The 23,798-nt window shown below is 36.5% G+C and overlaps 1 protein-coding gene across 43 annotated transcripts in view, besides 1 other annotated feature; it reads right to left on the minus strand.

The window, feature by feature from the left end:
- The window catches only part of TCF4 (transcription factor 4), a 413,773-nt gene that overhangs the window by 98,768 nt on the left and 291,207 nt on the right, over positions 1-23,798 (minus strand). For 3 of the 43 annotated variants that reach the window (NM_001348214.2, NM_001243235.2, NM_001243234.2), the window contains exon 1: positions 718-889. The exons of the other annotated variants lie outside the window; for them this stretch is intronic. In NM_001348214.2, coding sequence (NP_001335143.1) covers positions 718-786 — 69 coding nt within the window. In that variant the 5' untranslated portion in view covers positions 787-889. Of the gene's footprint in view, positions 1-717; positions 890-23,798 lie in introns of those variants that run through there. 43 annotated transcript variants of the gene reach the window in all.
- Positions 1,456-1,835: a silencer, noted in NCBI's record as "silent region_9474". NCBI's record gives its function as "represses an Ori minimal core promoter by ATAC-STARR-seq in GM12878 lymphoblastoid cells {active_cell/tissue: GM12878}" and the evidence as "EXISTENCE:reporter gene assay evidence [ECO:0000049][PMID:35858748]".

Here is a 23,798-nt window from a genome sequence, read left to right on the forward strand (position 1 = left end):
TTTTTCTTAAATAAAGCGTTTCTGTTGGAAGGGGGGGAAATTGAGGGAAGAAGCCACACAGCACAAATAACTTATGACAATACTGTTATATGCATGAATGAACCCGTTTGTTTTTCCTTCCCCATTTTGGCTTTAAATATATATCTAAGCTTATATAATCTACTCCTTAATTTGATCTCTCAGTTTTATGTGTTTGCTCTATTTTAACCTTTCAGGTTCTCTCCACTCTATCCACTGCACTCAAGCTTCCAACTTAGTAAGACTTTAGATATCACAAAACCTCAATCCAGGGAGAAACTTACCCCAAATTTCCTCTCAGCCTAACTTGGGCTTTCTCAATTCTGCTTCTCATATCTGCTTTTCCTTTCTAACAGTCATTTGGAAGGAATAAGAATTTTCCAAAACTCTTTAAAAAAAAAAAATCATACCACCTCTCAACTTTACCTGACTGCAAACTTTCGCTCTAGGATCCACTCTCTAAAGCTCTGAAAGCATCTATTTTTCTACTCTGGGGGAGGAGTGGGGGGAAAAAAAGACGAAGGAGAAGAAGTAGGCAAGAAGAAGATCTTAGGATTGGCAAATGATAAATATTTCATGGCACCCAGGAAGGTGCGGCAGTCCTGCACAACTTTGCAAACAATGATCACCACCTAGGATGCTCATCCCTGCGACAATAAAACTTGTCAAAAATCCCCCTCGCAGCCCGCATTCGCTTACCGCTTTCCCATTATAGTAGTACATCAAAGAGTTGCCGCCCATGCCCGGGATTGTGTATGCGCAGTACATGGTCTCGGATTCTTTTTTCTCCTCAGTACCACTCTAACAACTTTTATTTCAAACTCGCTGTCCCTTTTTTCACAACAATTCCTTCAGTTGCATTTTCCCATATGGCCGGGCCAAGCGTGGTGAATATGCAAAGCAGGAAGAGACCATTCCTGGCGGGCGGGGGAGGCCGCGGCGCTGCTGTCAGACGCTCAACTTTGCGCAGCGGAGCTGGAAGGCAGCCCGGCCCTGATGGAGCTCGAAATCCTAATGCATACGCGAGATCGATTCAACTTTTCCGAGGGGTTTTTATTAGTTCCTCGAATAATGCCGATTCTTACAAATTTCTGCAGTCTTCACTTTTTTCTTTTTCTTTTCTTTTTTTTTTTCCTTTTTTTTTTTTTTTTTGTTTTGTTTTGTTCTAGGCACCCTTTTCTTCTCTAAAATTTCCACTCAACTGCCTTAGGGTAAAAGTGGAACAGGGTCCATTATTGAGCAGAATACAAATGCAGTTAATTGACTCCCCCTCTCTCTCTCTCCCTCTCTTTCTTTTTTGTTTTAATTTGATTAAAAAGCGAGTGGCAGGAAGGGAATCGTATGATGCACATCTAATAACTCTGCCATCTGTCTCTGCTGCTGGCTAGCTCCCAGCATTGTACGCAGCTGCCTGAGAACTCGACTCGGAGAAAGGGGAGGGAAAGGGGAGGGAAGAAAAAAAAAAAAAAAAAAAAAAAAACACCACGTCTCTGACCTCGCTCAAAAGGAGAGAGGGGGCAGTGTTTTCTGACTGCTTGGTCAACAACCTACAAAACGGGGTTGCGGAATGAAACAGAGTAGCAGTGCGGCCCGCCCCGGGCTCCGCGGGCCCCGGCCTCCCCGGAGCTGGTGGGAAGCGCGGCCGCCCATGAACTTCACCTCGCCCCGCCGCAGACAGCCGCATGGGCCCAGAGCCTACGGAGGGGCTGGGGCGCTGCTCCCCTCGCTGGCGCTGGGCGCCCCAAGGGCGCACGTTCTCCACTCTGGAGTTGGGTGCTTTCACTGTAGCTTTAGACAATCTACTGCAACTTCACGCTATTTGCTGGGCTCTAAAGCAAGTTTATTGGTACCTTCGAACCGACGAATATCTTACAGCTGTCAGTTTCCCCAAAGGCACCCCTGAGACCACATTTTCAGAGTTTTGCAGCATCCCCGCAGCCCAGTATCTGTATAAATATTTTAGCAAACATCTCATGCACATTTTTACTAAACTTCGATTTTGCTAAACTTTAAGAACGTGAAAACCTTTGTTCACCTTTATTGATCACAACTGAACAATAGAATCCTTATAGATGGCAAGGTTTCTCACAAGCAAGTTGATATATTTATTTATTGTCTTTTAAAAATATTATACCAATCAACAAAAAGGCGGGGGGAGGTACAAAAAAAGGAAAGAAAGAAAGGGAGGGATGTGGGGAGAGGAGATGGGCTGACTTGAGCTTGCCAAATTCAGAGCATCACAGGAAAGGAGGGCCTCTGGGAATTGATCCCAAATGAAACTAAATCATTTGCATATGCCGAAGCAAATGCCACCCGAGCATACATCTATTCTCAAGAATCAACTTTAATAATTCAAAGCACCTATTTCCTTACAACTCAATATGCTAACAAAACACATACAGTATTAATAAACAAGGAGGAATAGTGGTGTTGGTTCCGAGGAGCAAAGCCCGGGCTAATGGTGGAAAGTTTCCCCACTCTCTAAAATAAACACACACACACCGCACATCCACACACACGTATCGAAGGCCCAGAGGTTTGTCTAACTCACTTGCTCTGCATTTATTCGGAAGGTCCCCAGAGGTTTGTGTAAACAGTACTTGAATTATAATCACACATTTCATTCAAATTTCATGCTTTGAGGATTTTTTCCTCATTAGAACAGTTAGTTGTCAATCTGACAGGATCACATTTGTAACCTTTAAACCACCCTCACTGCTTAATACACAAGGCCAGGGTACCCACCTACCAGAGGACAGTATGTAAAAACCACCACTTAGAAAAGAGGCTGGAATTTAAAGAGATAAGTTGGGGAGTTTCCTGGTTGTTGTTTCTTTGTTGTTTCTTCCCTTATTGAGAAGGCTTTTCTAGATCCTAACTTTCCATGGGTAGACTGCTAGAAAGATCTCTAAACTCTTTTGATAAACAATCATTCTGCTTCATCTACGTTAAATACCTTTTCTTACCTATTTTGCAAACATATAAATGCCTTCCTATTAATTATGTAAATATAAACCAAATTGTCATGGCTTAATGAGCTACAATTCCTATTTTTAAAATTGAAGCTCTCATTTCTTTTAATATATTGTTAACATGTGCATAAATAAATATTTTTAATCTGATGAGGTGAAATCGATTTTTAAACCCTGACAATTCAGCACATAAGACTGAAAAAATTAAAATGAGACTAGAACATTAAGCTTCTGGGCTTCATTGCCTAATGGAAACGAGTCTAAGATTTCAAAAGCACAAATTTACAATGATTAATAAAGATATAATGCTTTGAAAGGTGATCTACGAATTATAGCCAGTGAGACACTGAACGTATTATCATCCAGTGATGTTTGGTTTTGGTTTGCTGACCTTGGAGTACATTTCAATCACAGAACTCAAGTCAGTGGCTTGTCAACTGAGACATTTCTGCGATCTCAGCCTTTGAAGTTTTCTTTGTGACAGAAATATCATCCATGATAAATTTTTAGTGTGATGCGTGGGGAGTTAGAACAGAAGTATAAGAACAACTGAAGCTATATGCATAAATCCATGTGTTTCAGAATAATTTTAAAGAAGTCTTAATCTTAAGCAGCCAATTTTTACAGGACCCTGAACTAGTCTACTGCTTGTTTCACAGACACAGTTTTCACAGTAGTGTATAACTGGACAAGTTACCTTGCCAGCAGTAGGTAACTTGGTTACCTACTTGGTACCACCCCCACCCCCCATGCCCAGCCTTGTTATCGCTGAAATGATGGGGAATGATGGTTAGCCACACTATACAGAAAGCCACCATCCCTCTCTGGTGCTTAGACAAAGCACTATTGAGGACACTGGGGGTAGGCAATGAACCCAGTTGTCTTTTTCTGCCACTTTTGGGGAAAAAAATTCTTACCAGCAAACTGTCTAGAAGTGTTGACCACTTAAATGAAACCCACACGATTCTTATTTTCTTCTAGAATCTAAAGTTTACAGTTCTTTTGTAATTTTCCAAAAAGTCTTTGACAGATATATTTGAGGTGAAGCAGAACTGACAACACACACATACATTTGTTATAAGAAACTGGGAAATATTTGACCTAAAACCCCCAATGCATTGGCATAGTATTACCTACAAGGTAGATGTTCAATAAAAACTTGCCGAATGAATGAATAACTGCATTAAAGAATAAGTAAATATTCAGAATCTACATCACTTGAATGAAGAGCTATATTCAACCATTTCATGAACAATTATTTAGTGATTCCCAACTTTGGGTTAAGCTCCATTTGGGGACATGCACAGGGTTCACAGACATGTCAATTTTCTTCCTGAGAAAATTGAGAAAAGAGAGAAAATATGACTAAAGAATAATGCTTTAATTGTGAAGGCAATCGCACATACATTAAACAATTAGATAACAAACTATTACAGGGTAAAGAGCTGAACTATCCACTCGACCACAGAGCTCATTAGAGTAGATTCTACCTTTATTTCTGAATAATGATAATATTACATGGTTACTGCAAAGTGCAAATAAACCTAATGAACATCTACACACACACAAACTGCCCTGCATATTGCAGTGTAAGGCAGGCAACTCAACAAATAGAAGCTGAATAAATGAATGAATGAAGAATGGTCATATGGAAGGAATTCCCATTTTTCTCCTCCCGAATATAACTTGGTAGAATTTGAACAACTCCATGTTTCTGTTTAAGTCACTGAACACGGAAAGTTGTTTTTTGTTGTTGTTGTTTTGTTGTTGTTGTCTTTCTTTTTTTCAGTATAAGACATTGCTTATTTCTACAATGCTGACCTCTTTTGCCTAGCATGGCTGAATTAGCTAAACATCATATCCTAAGGAAAATAGTGATATTCATTAATATACAATGATTACATAACATAGTGTGAACAAGCCAGCCTATAAATTAAATAACCACCTCAGGTAAACATCTACCCATCAAAAAGATATTTGCTAATAAAACGACACTTAATACATGCACAGTACAGTGACACACAATTTAAAGAACATATAATAATTGCCTTCACTTATTTAATCTCCATAACTAGTACTCTGTGGCAGGTATTATCATTCCCACTTTAAAGACAAAGAATTAAGGCTCAAAGATCCTTAGATGACATTTTATAGATCAAAAGCTACTAAGACACTGGAATCAGGGTGTGAGCAAAGTTATTAAATCAGAGCACTTAAACTTGAGGGTCAGACACATCTTGATGAGTAACCTTGCTGCTCCCCAGCAGTGTGACTCTGGCCAAGCTGTATCACAGGTTTGAGTGTTAGTTCCTTCATCTAGTTAATACACAGCTTCTTTTGAGGCTTAAATGAGAGGACACCTAGTTCAGAGAATCAGCAGCATGTTATAAAGGAGAGTGCATTTCCTTGTGTCTCCTCTGCTGTTTCCTCTATGCAAGAGTGCCTTAAAGAGCAGCAGCAAAAAAAAAAAAAAAAAAAAAAAAAAAAAATCTCCACCTAAAATAGACTTAGGTGAAGTCTGCTAAAATGGAAAAAAGAATTATAAAAATACAGCACCATGCTAAACTCTTCCCAATGGAGCAAAGATATTCAATCACAAATCTTTTTGGAGCACCAAACACGACTGGCCTGAGAATTATGTATGTACTTAAAAATATAATTTCTGCTGATGTGTTAGTACTCAAATCTATGTTCTCATCTTTAAACTTAGAGGAATAGTAAATGTTGCCAAGCCAAGGAATAGGAGGTTACCCTTGTCCATTGAAAAAAGGAGTATAGTTTATTTAGAAGCTAAACTAATTGGTATTTTTTGCTCTCCAGCAGGAGTCACTCCTAACAAAAAATTTAATTCATAAGCTAAATTAAGGCTGATGTTTAGTTAGTAGATGCATATATATGGAATGTTATAAAAAATTGTAATAAATGGTGATAGCTTAGACCCAACAAAGGATCCATGTGTCATATTCAACTTAAAACTGCAATGACAAAAATCCCTAATAGGTATGAGTACAACTTCATAAAAGATCTAATTACTAACAGGAGGACGCAGACAGACAGACACACACACACAGAATTTATTCTGATGACAATAACTTGAGACAGCCTTGCAATTTAATAATGAACACCAACAAACCTCTTACGTGTATATTCCCATATTTCTTTGTATTGAAATCTTAAGACTATGAAATAACTGTTTTCTTATTAAGCAATTAAGATTTTTACTTTTTCAATTGGGATCCTAATTATTTTAAATTTTTTTTCAATATACACACGTATCTGGAGAAAATATTTATCTCAGATAAACACACTTATCGGATAAGTAGAAAATATACTTATCTGAAGTAAATCCATATTACACCAAGAAGTCAGATAAAGCACAAATCATCTCAATCTTTTTAGTGGCATGAACTTATTTTCTTGGCATCATTTAGATATTCTCAGGTAAAATACTTTTAACTATTTACATGGTTCAAATATGGACACATTTAGTTTGGAAGATGCTTTTATCACAGAAAAGTATCAAAATATCAGCGTAAACTGTGAAATCTAATTTTATTTGTGTCTTTTTTAGTGACTTCCTATGTTATCTTGAATTGGTTATTTTTATATGGCCTGGGTTCATATGTAGACATTCAAATGGTTTATCACATGATCAAATATTTATTTTCTGAGTGACTGGTCAGATAGCTTGTATTCATATTGATTATAAAGTAATTCACATTGATTACTAAGGTAAGCAATGGGTTGTTTTTTAACTAGATTTTTGATCCATAAGTAAATATTTGACTTCTACCTTTCTGTGGCACTATTTCCCTTTAGAAGAAAGAAGAGACTTCTCATTTTGCTTTATGTGGCATTATAAAAACTCACACAGACATATATGGTTTGGAGAGACAGCAGCATGCAAAATAGATGCAAAAACCAGATTCTCAAATTTCAGTATACAGTGAAATCTGATCAGATTCATTTCCCCACTTTTCCACATATTTTCATGTCTGAGGTAAAGAATTCAATGAGTATGCCATTATCTACATGAACATAACATCTTCTAGGAAATTCAACAAACCAGAGATACAAAATGGCATCACCCTGCAAACAAGGTAAAATGTAGCTAATAGCATTATGTGATATGGCAAAGTGTAATACCAAGTAGCAAGACCAGAATATATAGATTTTTAGGTTTAATTACACTGGAACCTACACATTTGACTCAAAGTGAAATTCACTTCTTCCTTCCTCAATTTTTTGCAAAGTAACTGCAAAAGTCATAAATTTACTACTAAATCTCTCAAATATTAAATGAAATTAGGCAAACATAGTGCAATTGACACATCTGAAGACTAGATGTGATTTTTATTTAAGGAGAAAAGACTTCATTATGCCTCTTATTTTTCCCCAGGCCGTCAATCTTTTTCCCTTGGGATAAGTGGAATGTTCTTAAAAAAAAAAAAATAACAAACCCTTATCCTAACCCAGTGTAATCCATAGCCAGTCTCCAAGTTTGATACAAAAACAAACCATTTCTATTTTGGTACAATGAGGAAGCATCACACTGGACAATGTAAAAACAGAGATGGAGGAAGTTGACTCAGATTGCTGCACTTCCTAGATGAAGCTGGTTAGCGAGCTTACCACAATCACCTGAGTCAAATGAAATTCGAGGACAATTGTTTTTTTCCCTCAAAATGGTACACGTGTAAATGAATTCCCAAAAAGTTAGAGGGGAAATCCTGGTTATGTTTATTTGTCTGGATGAAGGATGATAGTTGAGAAACTTTTAACAAAAAATGGATGGATGAAGCTGACTGGAATCTCAGCACAGGATGTTCTCAATTTTAAAAAATTTGTGAATAAATATCAGGCTTCCCAATGCATTGCTCGATAATCAGAGGGGAAATGTGATTATTACAATGAAAATGGTTTTCATTCTAAATGAACTAATTATCTAGGGTTTATTAACCCTCTTTGGGGGTGAAGATTCTAGCAATTTCCTGAGGTTTCTAACTGTTGATTACCTTTGTTCTTTCACATCATGGAGCAATAGGACAACTTGCTAGGCAGAGAACAAACAATTGTCAAATACTTTAAATGGCCACCTCTGACAAACGGAATGAAAAGAGTAGGTATAAAGGAAAAACAAAACATAAATTTTAAAATGCAAGTGAATGACCATACAGTGAGAGCATCCAACGTACATCCATCACTGAAGTGCCTTTTCAAGTTCGTGTTTAGCAGATCTAAGTTCCCTCAAGGCCAATCGATAGCCTAAAGCTTAAGCAGGTCATTGGTCCATTCCTAATCTAAATATGGTGTTCTTTAACTCAAAATAAACTTGAATTTTAACGACTGAGTTTTCAAAATAAGCACTCTCTTCATTCTGTTAATCAAAAGCACTTATATACCCACCCCACACATAAACACAGACACGACCAGGAAGGAACAGGTGAGACAAGTTTTGCATCATCTTCTATTAAAAGACAACAACTTAGAGTAAATCCCACGAGTAATCTAAAAGACTTTTTTTAAAGAGATAATGTGCAATTTTAAAAAATTCTGGGTTTTCATTAAATAACAGTGAAAGAAATTCATAAACTTTTATTGAGCATAAACAGTACTAAAATAAGAATGATTTGGGAAAAAAATTGATATTGATAAATTTTGGCTTTTAACATTAACCCAGCTGAATCAGGTATGGGTGATGAGTGAGAAAAAGTACTGTGGCAGTATTGGTCTTATTTCCTTCATTTATGGTTGGGCCAAAAATTGATGTAAAAGTCATCAACTAGCTTTACTGACAGCAATGCCAAAGGCCAAATTATGGTGCTTACCAACCAAAGACATGAAAATTGTCTCTATTTGTTTGACAGGGGTATTTGTTTTCAACAATGTCAGCACTTTGACCTCTTCAGGCATGATTATCAAATGCATTTTGAACATAAAACAACTTTAGCATTTCTAAATATGAGTCAAAAGGACAAACAGGTCAACTCTCACCCTTCCCTCTAGTTGAAGATATCCCTTACTGCCGAGTGGGTTGTGTTCTCTAACATCTGTTCAAGAACTGAATGCCACATTCTTTATGGGGTCTGGACCTGTATCTACTTAGTACCATCATATAGTAACTGTGTTGTGTGCAAGGAAATGGTACAGAACATATGATAAAGACAAGAGTTCCTCAAGATATACCAATTTTGTACATGGGCTGTGACCTTCAAACTTGCCAGCAATGTTGGATTTTTTTTTTTTTTTTTTTTTTTGAGATGTAGTCTCACTCTGTTGCCAGGCTGGAGTGCAGTGGCACGATCTCGGCTCACTGCAACCTCTACCTCCCGGGTTCAAGCAATTATCCTGCCTCAGCTCCTGAGTAGCTAGGAGTACAGGTGTGTGCCACCATGCCCAGATAGTTTTTGTATTTTTAGTAGAGATGGGGTTTCGCTACGTTGGCCAGGATGGTCTCGATCTCTTGACCTCGTGATCCGCCTGCCTCGGCCTCCCAAAGTGCTGGGATTACAAGTGTTAGCCACCACGCCTGGCATGTTGGATATCTTTAACTAATCAACTGCTCATATGTTCTGCAATAAACATATGTCTACTTTATTAAAAATCTAAATGTATTGTGTCCACTACATTTTCTTTTTTTTTGAGACGGAGTCTCGCTCTGTCACCAGGCTGGAGTGCAGTGGTGTGATCTTGGCTCACTGCCACCTCTGCCTCCCAGGTTCAAGCAATTCTCTTGCCTCAGCCTCCTGAGTGGCTGGGATTACCAGCATGCACCACTACCACGCCTGGCTAATTTTTGTATTTTTAGTAGAGACAGGGTTTCACCATGTTGGCCAGGATGGTCTTGAACTCCTGACCTCGTGATCCGCCCGCCCCGGCCTCCCAAAGTGCTAGAATTACAGACGTGAGCAACTGCCTGAGTAAGTTCTAGCTTTGTAACTTACCTGCATAAGTTCTAGCTTTGTCTAAATCTGTTTCCTTATAAACCAATAATTTTCAAATAACTATGAGTTAAATTGTGACCATATAACCTTTGTTCCAATCCCTAACTTCTGTGTTTATGTTTTTATTATAATGTAATATCTCTGGCAAATAAATCTCTGAAAAACATAAAAACAATCAAAAGTTGTTTCTCCAGTTGACCAAGCAAAACTCCACACGGTCCCTGAGATTTTCAGGGAAGAGACAGACAGAAGCTGCTAGACAGAAGCTCAGTGGAGTATCTGTGGTCCCTGTGATTTTCAGGGAAGAGACAGACAGAAGCTGCAAGACAGAAGCTCAGTGGAGTATCTGTGGCCACTGTCTTAATCACACCAGATCTGCAGCTCTCTGTGATCCAGAATCAGGTTCTGTAGTCACTTCCAGATAAGGACTATATTCTAGAATATAGGATTCTCCAGCAAAGTTCAGTGCCTTGTTAAATAAACTAGGCATAGGCATCTACCTTGCTGCTCCCAAATATCTTAAATTTCTAAACAAAGATGATAATTTAGCTTTCTTTGTCCTGTGCTCCAACAATATAATCTGCACACAATAGGAGCTCAATCACACTTTGCTCATTGAGTGAATGAGGAACAAAAAGAGATTTATTTCCTTCCTTTCCACAACAACAGAAATCATCATGTCCACAGAGAAGAGAGTTTGTCGGAAAAACACGATAGCCAGCTGTAACTTCCATTTGAGAATAAGTCTTCATGAAATGGGAAAATGAGCATATTACTAGCCAACAATTTTCAATAGAGCTATATCTACTTTAGACTGATAAAACATGCACACAATATGAGGACCTGTTCCCCTAGTTTCCAAATGTTCTAATTATTATTTTTGATTTCATGAACCTGGTCTGTCCTTTACCTAGATTATAATCTGCTGAGGATCAGGGATGAACCAAATTTTATTTGCTGTCCTGGCAGAGAGTGTATTCAAAAACATATACAATTCACAGAAGAAGGGGGCGTGAGGGATCTAATTTACCTTCCTTTCTCTTGTATAGCGTGGCTACTCTCTCAATACAATAACTAATAATGCCAACAACATGCTAAAGGCATAAAGATGGACACATCTATTGTCACTTTTGAGAGGTGATACTGTTATGCCACTTATTATGTGTGATGCAGACTTCTGTTTGTTTCAAATGTTCTTTAATTTTTTTTGGCAAGTCATCTTTACTTATTTAATCTATATTCTACTTTGAACATTCAATTATAAACATTTTCTTAGAGGGACACCATATTCTATGGTTAAATATTATTTCCTGATGACGTAGAAGAAAACAAAGGGAAGAAACAGGTGCTTTCCATGTCATTTCCACATATTTAACTTCTTATTTGTTGTCCTTTCCAACACATTCCGTTTATCTAGATTTGAGGCAGTACAGAAAAAAAAAAACAGCTTAAAAAATTATTTTGTTGCATTGTTAACAGAAATATATGTTCATAACAAAGGACCTCAACAACAATTACAGTAAGCCAGGTGGCTGATTCCATCTGTATATCATATATTACACTGTTATCATGGACCACATGATTACATAATTTAGGATGCACTTGCTATCACTGTATTTTTAAGAGTCATATAAGCTCTGTGTTTATTAGTCTGCAAGGAGAATCAGTGGTACCAGACCCTTATAAAGCATTACAAAATGAACTCTGATTTGTACAACTACATGTGGCCATACACACTTCGGTGCAAATCTTTCCAATGGCAGAAACATTGGCCATTGCTGTCCACCTTCCAGGAGGCGTGGCACTTAGTAGGTGTGCTATAAATATTTGTGAATTTTTCAACCTCGAACTTTAAGCTGATTCAGTGCCAAGTGAGTGAAAACTTCTGACTCACGTCAGTGTTTCTTTCCCTTTGAGGAGATATAGACTCCATTTGACAATATGGTAGGAATTATACTCTGTATCACCAGTTACTTCTGTGATGTATACACTTGATGAATATAATTTTGTTGACTAGAATTCTAAGAGAAAGGCACTAAAGTTTTATAAAGGCCAATTTGAAATAAACTTAAGATCTAAATACACAGAAGCCCACATCTTTTATGAAACAAGCCTAATCGGTCAAGTCTACCAAAAAATTTACTAAATATATGTGAACAATTAAATAAAACCTTTCAACATTCTTAACAAAGAAATATTTTGTCTGAAAGCATATTCTAAAATAAGTTATCATTCTGGATGTTTTAACCTTTTTTTCTTAAGGTTTCCTAACTCATTGATATCAAAGAGACACCTGGTAGCAATGCTATAGTTAAGTATCTGTCTGGGTTTCCTTCATAATTCCTAATTTTCAGATACTTGTAAGGAAATTGCCAGAATCTTAAATGTGCTATACAGAGTTGTCTGTAAAGATGCAAATATCATTTCTTATTCTCCTTATATTCCTTTCTTTCTACAAAATTTCAAAACTGCTCAGTCATTTTGAATCATACAGTGTATAAAAATAGACTTTTAATACTTGAGATATTTTATCTCTATTGTCTATGGCACTTTCTCCCACCAGAAAAAAAAAACAAAACAAAACAGAAAAACAAACAAAAAAAACCCTCAACTCACCTCCGCATTCCCCAATATATCTTAATTTCTTTGAATAAAATGCAGGTGCTTCATTTCAAATGGGGTCCAAAGACTGACATTTAAAGCTAACATCTTAATAAGTGGCTATGATGCTTAACATGTTGGCATTCACAGCACTTCCACTTGCCCCATGTAAGTAAAATTGGGCCATACCACCCTACTGTGTATTACATCTAATCTGGATTCTGTAATCTCAATTGCGATTATCCCTTTTGTTGTTTTCAAGACTGCAAGTTCACAGTGAAGTTGAAAGGCAGGACGAGGTTTATTTTATAGTGAATATTGTTTTTGCTCTCTGTTGTTGAGTTTGAAGCACAGCTGTGCAAAGTAGTTTCAATGAACCAAGGAATGGTCCCAGAACAACCAGCTCAGAACTTTGCCCTGAGTTCACAAACTATAGGCTACATGATAATTATATAAACTCCTCCAGAACTGTGACCCCTTTCATGAATTTTTAGCTGGATCTGTCTCAAGTAGTATTGATTTACATTGATCTCAAGGGTATTTTTTTTTCTCTGATTTTTACCCAATTTACACAGCAATGAACAAGGACTCAGCCTAATTTCATTTTCTATGCAGTAACTAGTGTTATTTGCATTCCATAAATGAAATGGAATGTGGGGACACAGACTAAACTGCTAATTCAAATAAAACCATAATATTAAGAGCATTATCTTTTATAAAAGAAACACAGTTTTATTTAGTAAAAGCATTATTCTTAATAGTAAAAACAATAAAACATCCTAAGCCATACTCTACATGTCTTAAAATACCCCGAAATAACTTTTATAAATAACATATAAGTCTTGTATTTATAATTAAGTGTGCACAGTAAATGCACTCTTTAGGTATAGTCCAATAAATTATAGGAGAAAAAATTCTGCCATAGTTTCTAATCAAAATCTCCAATTGCATAATTCCAAGATAAAAATGAACCTTAATTTAAAGCATTAAAAACTCTGAGCTAAGACCCCCAGCTTAGAAAAGACATTCCTTTCAAAAAAAAAGAAAACAGCATAACCTCTTACCTACTTAAAATTTATTCTAAATAGGAGTCAGTGCCTTCACCTTTCTAGAAATGAGAGTATATGCTTCAAAATAATAATTCAAAAATAAAATAAGTGATACCAGTAATTTGGGTTGTCAAGTTGAATTAATAAATTATTACTGGGCCAACCTGGAACCAAAATTATCAATCGTTCAAAATAATTCATAGTCTGTTCTAGGAAACATCTTAATCCTAGCTTAGAGAAAAGTCACTGCTCAGGAACACCTTTCTTCAGTGACTAAGAAGCTCAGAGGCACTCAATTTCTAATGTCAAAGATACCCATTTAAATGGCTTAATATCTAAACATATCCTGACAAATTATTCAGATCTTACTTTTCAAATGTGAGAGCAAAGGGAAAGTTTGGCAAATTGGTACTATGTTTTAAATTTAATCATAAAATCAATTCTTGGGAATTGCAAATAATGTCTTAGAAGTCAGCTGAGGACCAGATTTGGCCACTGAATGCTCTGTGACGCTCTTGCTGAAAGACAAGAACAGAACACACACATTCAAGCAGGAAGTGTGCCGGCCACAATCATGGGACTCACACCCAGGGAAACCTGTCCTTAATTTATCCCGTCGTGTGTAGATTTGGCAAGGATCTCCAAATATCATTTACATACCATATGCCCTGAATTACCTAGGCACAATGGCTGTGGATAAATATGTTTCAGGTCTGACTGTTTGCTTCCTTTTATAAGTTTTGCAGCTTTCATTTCATTTTTCACATTGCTAAATAATTTAATGTAATATTGCGTGTTGTAAAAGAATGTTGTGTTAAATCAATAAATAGTTCATTGTGTCCTGTGATAAGCAAATAAATGCTCCTGAGGTAGGTGACCAGGAGACATTATTTCTCCTATGAAAGAATCAAAGAAGGGAAATCAGCTGTTTATGCTTTCAACTCATTTTAACCTTTGCCTTTTTACTAGGCATATAAATGCAGGCATTCAAAAATAAAGAAGACAGAAATCATACAGTCTGACTTATGTGAAACATACAGAACCGGTCAGCAAGTTTTCATGTCTAAAAAAGACCCCTGAAAATCTATTCTTGGTCATTCTTGTATTTGTTCTTCTTACAGTTTACAGACATTATAATTACTCTATGCCTTAGTTTCCCTCTCTTCCATAATACAATGGTATTAATAAAAAATGTAGTCATATTTGTGTAGATTTTCAAATGACACTTAGATTAATAAAAATGTATACTTAAACTAAAAAGATCAAAAGCCTAAAAAAAGGCTTGGAGCAGAACTACATACATATTTTTTGTTGTGTACTATAAATTTGACTGTATAAACTTCCAATTAAAAATGACATTCACACCATCATTTTTGATAGAATTTTGCACAGTAGGAATACTCATTAATGCAGGGTAATACAGTGTGATAAGCAGCTTAGACATCAAAATAGTAAAAAGGAAAAAAAAAAGCCAGTTGGTCTACTTTTTATATGAGTAAGATAAAACTTAAAAAATTAAATACCTGAAGAAATTTGAGAAAACATTTATTGGCATTTTAAAATTATGTCAAATCAAGAGCATCTATTCTCTTGTCAGTTTCTACTTCAGAGATCTCAATTCTAATAAAAAAAATCACATTTCCATCCTATGTTTGATCATGATACATTAAATGCATTTCAATATTCAAAATGAATTTAAATATAATTTTAATACTTTTACTTATTCTACAATTACCCTCCTAAATAGAGAGTATGTCTGTGTATACATTTTTTTTTACTACTATATGAAGTATCTGAAATATTTCAATTTTTTTCAGCATTGGTAAAAGAAAGGCAAAAGCCCATCAGCTACTAACCATGTGCACGTGGGTCATTTTATGATCTTTAACTAGAAAATACAAAATGATCATATAATTATCTATTGTATGTTAAAATAAATGGCAAATGAGGTTTGTCCATATACTAGGAGAGAAATAAATAAAAGGCAATCGAGTAATTTCAGAGTATTATCAAACAATTTTGCTTTCTTTAGGGGGCAAGAAAAAGAAAGAAGCTACCATTTGAAGGCCAGCAATGAAAGGGTTAACAGACATATGCTGTATAATTAGGAGATGCATTAATGATTATGAATAGTAAATGATTTGGTGCAAAGAAAAAAATTTTAGTCAAAGGGACATGTACCTATCTTACATGTTTATTAGTAACTGTATATAACTAGAAAATTCTGCTATTAAGAATCTTGCATTATTGGTGTAAATACTTCCAAGGGTACATCAAATTGTAATCTTTCATACGACATCCATCAAACCAGGCTGGAGATTTTGACAAACATTAAACACAGTAAGGAGGCAATTATGTATGCATGATTTAATCTGCAACTAATTAATATGCAAATTTATTCATATGTTAGTTACTAAATTAAAAATGCAAAGAAGCCCTTATGGTGATTCTCGAAATTTTGCACAAACAGAACATTTAAAATGTAAGAAAAATGAAGTTTTTTAGAAAACTATAACACACTTTTAGTGTCCCCAGAACCTGTTGCATTAAGAAGACTCAAAAATATGTGTTTAAATACTAGATAATAATTTAAAAGGTGTGCTAATTTTACGTGAGAATGTGGGAACAGAAAGGTTAATCAGAATTCTCTCGAACTCTTAAGAGATACACTCTAATTACCAGACAAATGGTATTCTATTTCTAAGCTTCCTTCCCTGCTTTTGGGTTGTCAGAAGTTGGTCATCTTACTGATATCTTATATAAATGGTTAGGAGTTTTGAGGGGAATAAATAGTATTTGAAAGCAACCAGATATAATGAAAATTTAGGGTAACTCTGAGACCATTTGGTGTTCACTAAACATACAATTCGCTCAAGATGGCAACTCGCTCTTTTTGCCTTTGGGGAACAGCTCTTTGCAAACAGAGAAATGGGAGGAAAATCTTGAGAGAGGCTAGAAATTCTACCAAACTCTCTTCCAAATGAATCTTCAAAGAAAATAATGTGGCTAACCAAAAAGCAACAACCTCCCAAAAAAGCAGAAGGTAATTTTATCTGAATTCAATCTGGCTATTTTAGTCCTACATTTTCCAGACAGTCCAAAATTGATTTGAATCCTGTATGTGAGATGAGGGGTGCGGAGTGGTGATAATTTAAAAATATCTTTGGGTGTCTGTATACAAGGGAGTATCCCTTCAAGTGCACTATATATTATTCTTTGGTATTATTGCCTTATGCCAGAACCTGATTCCCCTAAGACTGCCTAGTGATCAGCAGTGAGATTTTGTATGGATCACCTCTCATCTGTTTACCTTTTTCATCCGACGTCCGATGGCCATGTACATACACACAAAGCTCCTGGAGCTGGCTCTTGGAACAGCTGTACTGGCCTCAAGAAATCAACACAAGTCAACTGTATGAGGAAGCACAATAACAGCATCTACGGCTCTTCCTAGGGCACTGAACTCTCACCCATGTTAAAAAAAAAAATCACCATCAGTCTCGCTGCTGCCAAGTGACACACAAAAAGGAAGTTAACCATTGGCTGTGACTTGCATTCACAGTCTGACTCTGATTTCCCTGCTTCCCTTAGCCCATTCTGATGCCAAGCGGACTACAGCTTGCCCATTTCATTTCGACCACGGCAGCCAAAAAAAGCACTGCCCCACCGTGCGACGACAAGCAGTCTGTTTTGATATTAGTACCTCAGTATGTGATAGAAGAGAGTCAGATGTCCTCAAACTATGTGCCCTCCCCCGAGGGACTCTCTCCTGGCCCTCCTTGGCCAGAGAGATGGCAAGCGTGCCACAAATCCTTAGCTTTGAAAGCACAGGGGACGGAGAGGCACTATCCGCAGGCTCAGACAGAAATGGCCATGAGTGCCTCTTCTTCCGGGGAGAGGATTCAGGCCCTCCAATTCCACACTCTAGTCTAACTGGAAATATTAACTCAGATTCTATTCACTCCCTGCCAGCATACAAAACACAAACTGAATTACATAAGAAAAAGAGTCATTTTCTTATATAATTAAATTGTAGTAAATGCTAGTAAGTAAACATCAGGTTTCCTTCTTTTTCTTTCATGAAAGACAGAGGAATATATGGGGTTCCCGAAAATTGATTTTTTCATTGATTCTTAGGGAGGAAGATGAGAGTGAAGTATTCTCCCCCCCACAACAAATTCTGATTTATTTGCTAAATGTACGGAATCTGACTGTAACCTGGTTTAACCTCTGAATGTGCCTTGTAATGTTCTAGTTCTCTCCAGCACTAATAGATCATGCTTTTTATAATTCCAACGAGGCATCGTCAGGTGAGGACTGCAATTGCTGGGCATTTCAAAAGTCTGAGAGTACCCTGGGCATCTTTAATTTTTACAGGTGACTCAATTTTTGTTGTGACCAGAACTGAACATAAAGCTTTTAAAAGCTTAAATGTACACATTTATGCATTCATTACACAGTGTTAAATCTAATTTGTTCTTTTTACTGTCACAGGAAGCACATGTTTAAAGCAATCTGTTTCCTCATGTGAATGCTTTCCTGTCTGTTTAAAAAAAATTGCGACACACTTTACCCTGAGTAACCAAGAGGTGATCATAAATATCCCTAAATAGCATTAAACAGATATGAAAGACATTAACACTTTCAGAATGCCAAAGTAGTATTAAAAAAAAATTCTAACAGATGCTCCTAGGTCAAAAAGTGAAATGTGTGTTTCCTGAAAAAACACTCTCATCAGAATCATAAATGAACTGTGAGTGGAGAAGTGAGGTGTTGCTGAACAAACCAGGATCCTTTTGGTGAGGAACACGGCAATCCACTGCCAACGTGTACTTGCCATAAAAAGCCAAATCGAAATGGAAGTTTGATGAAAACCAATATCCTTTGTAATCCACAAGGTGGCAATGACTACAAATGAGGGGTGGCTAAATCGGATCTATCGGCTTTCCAGAGAAAAATTATCTCTGTGAACTGAAGCATCAGTCCCTGTTCAGGGTGTACACGGAAGAAGTTCAGGGCTCATCAGCCAACAGGGACTTTTCCCGAGGAATCTAACTCAGTGCCTGGTTTTTCTGCAAATTAAAATTGGCTGGGAAAAGACATTCATTGTGGAATGTGGAGACCACGCTTCCGCTCACACCTCCCCCCTCCCTACTTTCAGCAGATGTTTTTTTCTTTAAATGCAAGAAGAGTTAACTAAATCAGCCTTTATATATAAAAAAAAGTGTTTTAAGTTTCTCATAGCCGATGATCAAAAATACCTTTTCTTTTGTGAATTCAACAGGGGCACTGAGAAAAGATACATTATAATGCGTCAAAGGCTACAATCTAGCCATTCTTTGACTTTACCTTAAAACATCTGTACAAATATTCCTGCTCAGTGTAAGAAATCTACCTAAGCAGTCCTAAACAAACTGAACTCTGTTTACTTTATAAAAGAAACAGACTGCCACACAGGTCTACCTAGTCCACACATCTTCATCTTGCCAGGCAAAGCTAATATCTTAGGCCTAACCTTCAGTTTTGCGGGGGGATCTATAGCCAGCCCCACCAAGGGGCTGTGCATCACTTGGGCAGACCCGTTCCCGGCCTATTAGAGAATACCACTGACACAAAACAAAAGAAAAAGCACGTATCTCCTTATCACTTAGAGGCAAGGCTGATTTAGGCATAAACAAATTATTGGCCAAGGGAACCACAGTATAAGCAGCTCCGGGCATCACAGCCGATGTACCAGTTCAAAAGAGAGAAGATAAAGTATTTCCAACACAAACTTTGCAGACCACTAGGTCTAATGATTAAAAGGGCTGACTACGTGTCTTGGTTTGATAGAGATGGGTTTGCAGAGCCTGGGAAACACAGGGAGACCCTGTCTCTACCAAAAAAAAAGAAAAAAATTAGCCAGGTGTGGTGGTTGTGAACCTGTGTACCCAGCTACTCAGGAGCCTGAGGTGGGAGGACCGCTTGAGCCTGGGAGTTTGAGACTGCAGTGAACTATGATTGCACCACTGTACTCCAACCTAGGTGACAGAGCAAGACCCCATCTCAAAAAAAAAAAAAAAAAAAAGCAATATTACATAATTTCAGAAAAAGCAAGTGACCTCTGTTAGGTAAAATTCTTTTGAACATAGCTGAGACCCTGGTCTTAGTTTCTATTCTACTGCTAACTACTCCTAAGTAGGCTGCCATGTTAGATTTGTTTCTCAAATGCCAAATGAAAGGTAGTTACCTTGTTACTGATAATAGCATGACAGTGCTTTTTATTATGTGTAACAATAGTATGTAACATTCAAGGATATTACATAAATGCATTCAAACCCCAATGAGTACTTATTTTACAAATAACTGTGTAGCTAGGAAGTGACATAGCCCCCTAAAAACCCAGTTGATCAGATTTCATACTCTAACCACTATATTATACTGTCTTTGTTTACACAGATGCTCCCCTGGACTGCCTGGCATACTGATTTGCTTGGGCAAAAGTTATAGGACATGACTATACAGAGATACTGATGATCACTCTACAGTGAAATGAAATTTCTGAATATTAATTTATTGTAGATAGTCAAATACTTGCTAACTTAATGACAACCTTGCTGTAGAGAGCTTTTTGGTCTACAGAGTGTCTGAAACGCTAGGCAGCATAGACAGCACTATGGTTAAGAACACAGAAACTTTAGAGACAGGCTGCCCAGGTCTCACTCCCAGCTCTGCCACTTACTATGTGTGACCGCAGACATGTTTCTTCACCTCTCTGTGTCTCATTTTTAAGTCTCTTGAATAAACAGTAGTACCCATCTCACAGGATTTTTATAGGAATAAATGATTCAATAGATGCAAATGATGTAATAGTGTACCACTTAGAACATGGAATAAGTACTCTGGCATGGAATAAGTACTTTGATAAAGGTTTGTTATCAGTATATTGACACCACCTTATTATGCAGGCACTATTTTATACCTGCTTTGTAGACAGAGAAGCAGGTTTGTGACCTAACCAAGGCCACTGGGTGTGTAAGTAGAGGCTGTCAGACGTTATACTTGAAAGGTCTTTTTATGTCTAGTGCAGTGTTTTTTCTACCTTGCTACACCACTTTTACTACTATATTCATTCACTGGAAATATATTTCAGAGTAATACGCATAAGTAAAGCAGTGAGTCTGGTTTCTATAGGACAAAAAAAAATGTATCTAAAACATATCCCTCACTCTCGTAAAGGTGGTGACAAGTGAGTAAGGGCAATCAGCTTAAGGGACAAAAGTCCATGTGTTACACTTTGTGGGTTATTTTATTTTTCAAATGCATGACTTTCTCAAAAGGCTACACGGTATACTCTTTAAAATGCTAAGGTTATTCCTACAAATTGTGACGCAAGTGACACAAGACTGCAAATTTCATTAAACGTGAAGAATCTCAGTTGAAAAGCTCCACGATTTAAATAAGAATACATAGAAGAAAAAGACATGTTCCATGTTACATGGTGTGTCTAGTTTTTAGCTGCAATGAAAAATACTCTTTGAATAAGTATAAACGGAGAAAGGAATGAATGAATAAATGAACATGCTTTTTTCCCCTTCTACCTGGGCACTCCCAGCTTGTTACTGTCGGGTTTCACTTACATCAATATTGGGTGAAGTTACTGATATATTTACTAAAGGGAAAATGAAATAGCATTTATTTGTAAAATAATTACTGACTGCAGTTTGAATTTTGTAATCCCAACTGTATCTGTTAATAATAAATATTTTTAATTCCATTTTCTTTGCTGTTATCAATTAAGCCACAGATTATATGTGCCAATGTCTTATACACCTCTAAAAATAAAATTCATATTAAGATACATGAGGGACCCCAAGGTTCTGGCAATGCAATTTCACTCCTGAATCATATGCCTGAGTATTAAATGGCAGAATTTCGAATTTATTTTATGTAACAATACTTTCAAATAGTACAATAGATACAGAACTGTGCTTTTCTACTTGACCAAATCGTTTAAAAAATTTAAACTAACTCAACAAGTCTAAATAATCAGGCCATAAACATTCTCCTAATAAATTTCAGCTTTAGTAGTAACGCAAAATGAGCTAAACACTGCTGCCTCCTTAGACAATTTTTTTCTTATCCTTTAACGTCTTGAGTTATTAAACTTTCTTAAGCTAGAGCTCCAGTTTTTATACTCCACTTGTTATTAAATTATTTTGTACTTCAAGTTCGTTTCATAAAAAGCAAGCCAGAAAATATTATTGTACTGTGTTAATGTACCTGAGCACCTGTGAAACAACCCAATTCTCCAAACAGGGTTACTTGAAAACATTAATGCTAAGAATCTGCCACCTACTTGAAACTGCTTTCTCATAGCAGCTAATGATATAATGATATACTGTGCCAATCGGTAGAATGAAAGACATTACAATATTATTATAAGCGTAATTCAGGAGGCATATTTAGAATGATATGGGCCATGGAGGGAGGAGGCTCCTGTAGACACTTAGGTATTCTTTCTCAGATGCCATCAAAATAATTGTTCCAAAGTAGCATTTTCCTAAAATCCCTAATGGTAACAGTGACACTTTTTGTATGTGTATGTGACGAATGACACCAGTTTTCATGATTAAATGTACTTGCAAAGGTCATTTTTATGAGAAAATATAAGTCTTTCTAATATGGCTCCATGTTTCACAAAGGAAATGCCCTTTAATCACTGCCAACATATGGCAACACACTGAGAAATTTTCTTTACAGTTTGCTATGAAGAGAGCTTCACTACGAAATGTTCCTATTTCCTGCTCTACGGAATAATCAAAATAAATTTAGTGAAATTTAACACACACACAGTTCCTCTTCTTATTACTCTGGAAGTAAGCACTTATATATCAAGTTTCATCCCTAGTGGCTTATTTATGATTAATTCCTCAGATGACAAAGTCAGACAAGAGACAAGAGTGGGTGTCACTAAACCACTTAAGTAGAATTCTTAAAATGTTCCTTTCAAAATACAACTTGCACATTCTTTCAGAAGTGAAATCTATCCATCTCACCAAATCATAAAGCATCTTTATTTTCAACCCTGAAATTTTACAAAATGCAGAAACTTCTGCACTACCTTAACTTCTCTGAAGAGGGAGTATATGCTCAAGTAAAGCATCAAACTCCTCAAATAGCTCTACACCTATGCAGCAGCTGCAACTTAAAAAAGAATCACTCACATGCTGCTGTTTCCAGATAAAATAATTAAGTATTTAAAACTATAAGTTTTGCACCACATTGTATAAAAGCTCCTATTCCTTTAAAAGAAGCACACTCATACACATGGGTGCACACACACACGCGTGCACACACACATCCGGGGATAGTAGAAATTGATCAAGGCTGAAAATCCTGTGCTATTGCTTTGAGGTGCAATTTTATGTTCAGTTTAATAATCCAGTGCAGTTATGTAAAAAATCAAACAAAAGCCAAGACAAAGCAAGTGTCTGTCAACAGCCTGACAAGTATGGATTCTGCCTTAAGAAAATACAACTTTGACAATTCTTGAAGAGACTCCTTATTCTTTTAGGATTACTGCCACATCTTCTAAGAGAATCTTATTTAGCCCTCCAATTCCTGATTCATTACTTTCAATGAAAACCTTTAGAATTATTCAAAACCAAGAAAACATAGAAAATGCAGAAATTGTCAGTGATCTGGAAAAAAGGAGAACATTTTGCTATGTTAGCAAATAAAACTATTTCAATCAATTAAATTTTAAAAGTTAAAAAATGGTATTCAATCAAATTATCAAGGCATTTATCTACATTATTTCGTAAATATAAATTCACAGTTAAGCTGGATGCCATAGAAAAAGGTTTTATTTTCAAAATACATGCAAGCCCTGTTATAATTCTCTCTGGGTAAAGCAGCCCTGCAGTGGTTTCCTACACTTCTCAGTAATTTAAACCACTCTCGAGTCCAAAACTTCACACCAAAATATACTCTTCAGTGAAAATGATAAAGTTCAAAATAGCAGTTCCCAGAAATGTATTTCTCTTTTCTCAACAAGTCCAGTTTTACACTAAATGCTATTATTGTTTATGTTAGCAGCTGCTAACATCTTAACGAAAGTCCTGATAAATCTTAGCATGCAAAATACTATTTTGAATACTTGATTAAAAATAAAAACACATTGGAGAGTAGGAAGATACATCAGGCACCACTCCTTAGAAGAGATCACTGAG

Source organism: Homo sapiens, chromosome 18, assembly GCF_000001405.40.
Source record: "Homo sapiens chromosome 18, GRCh38.p14 Primary Assembly".
NCBI classification, from domain to species: Eukaryota; Metazoa; Chordata; class Mammalia; order Primates; family Hominidae; genus Homo; species Homo sapiens.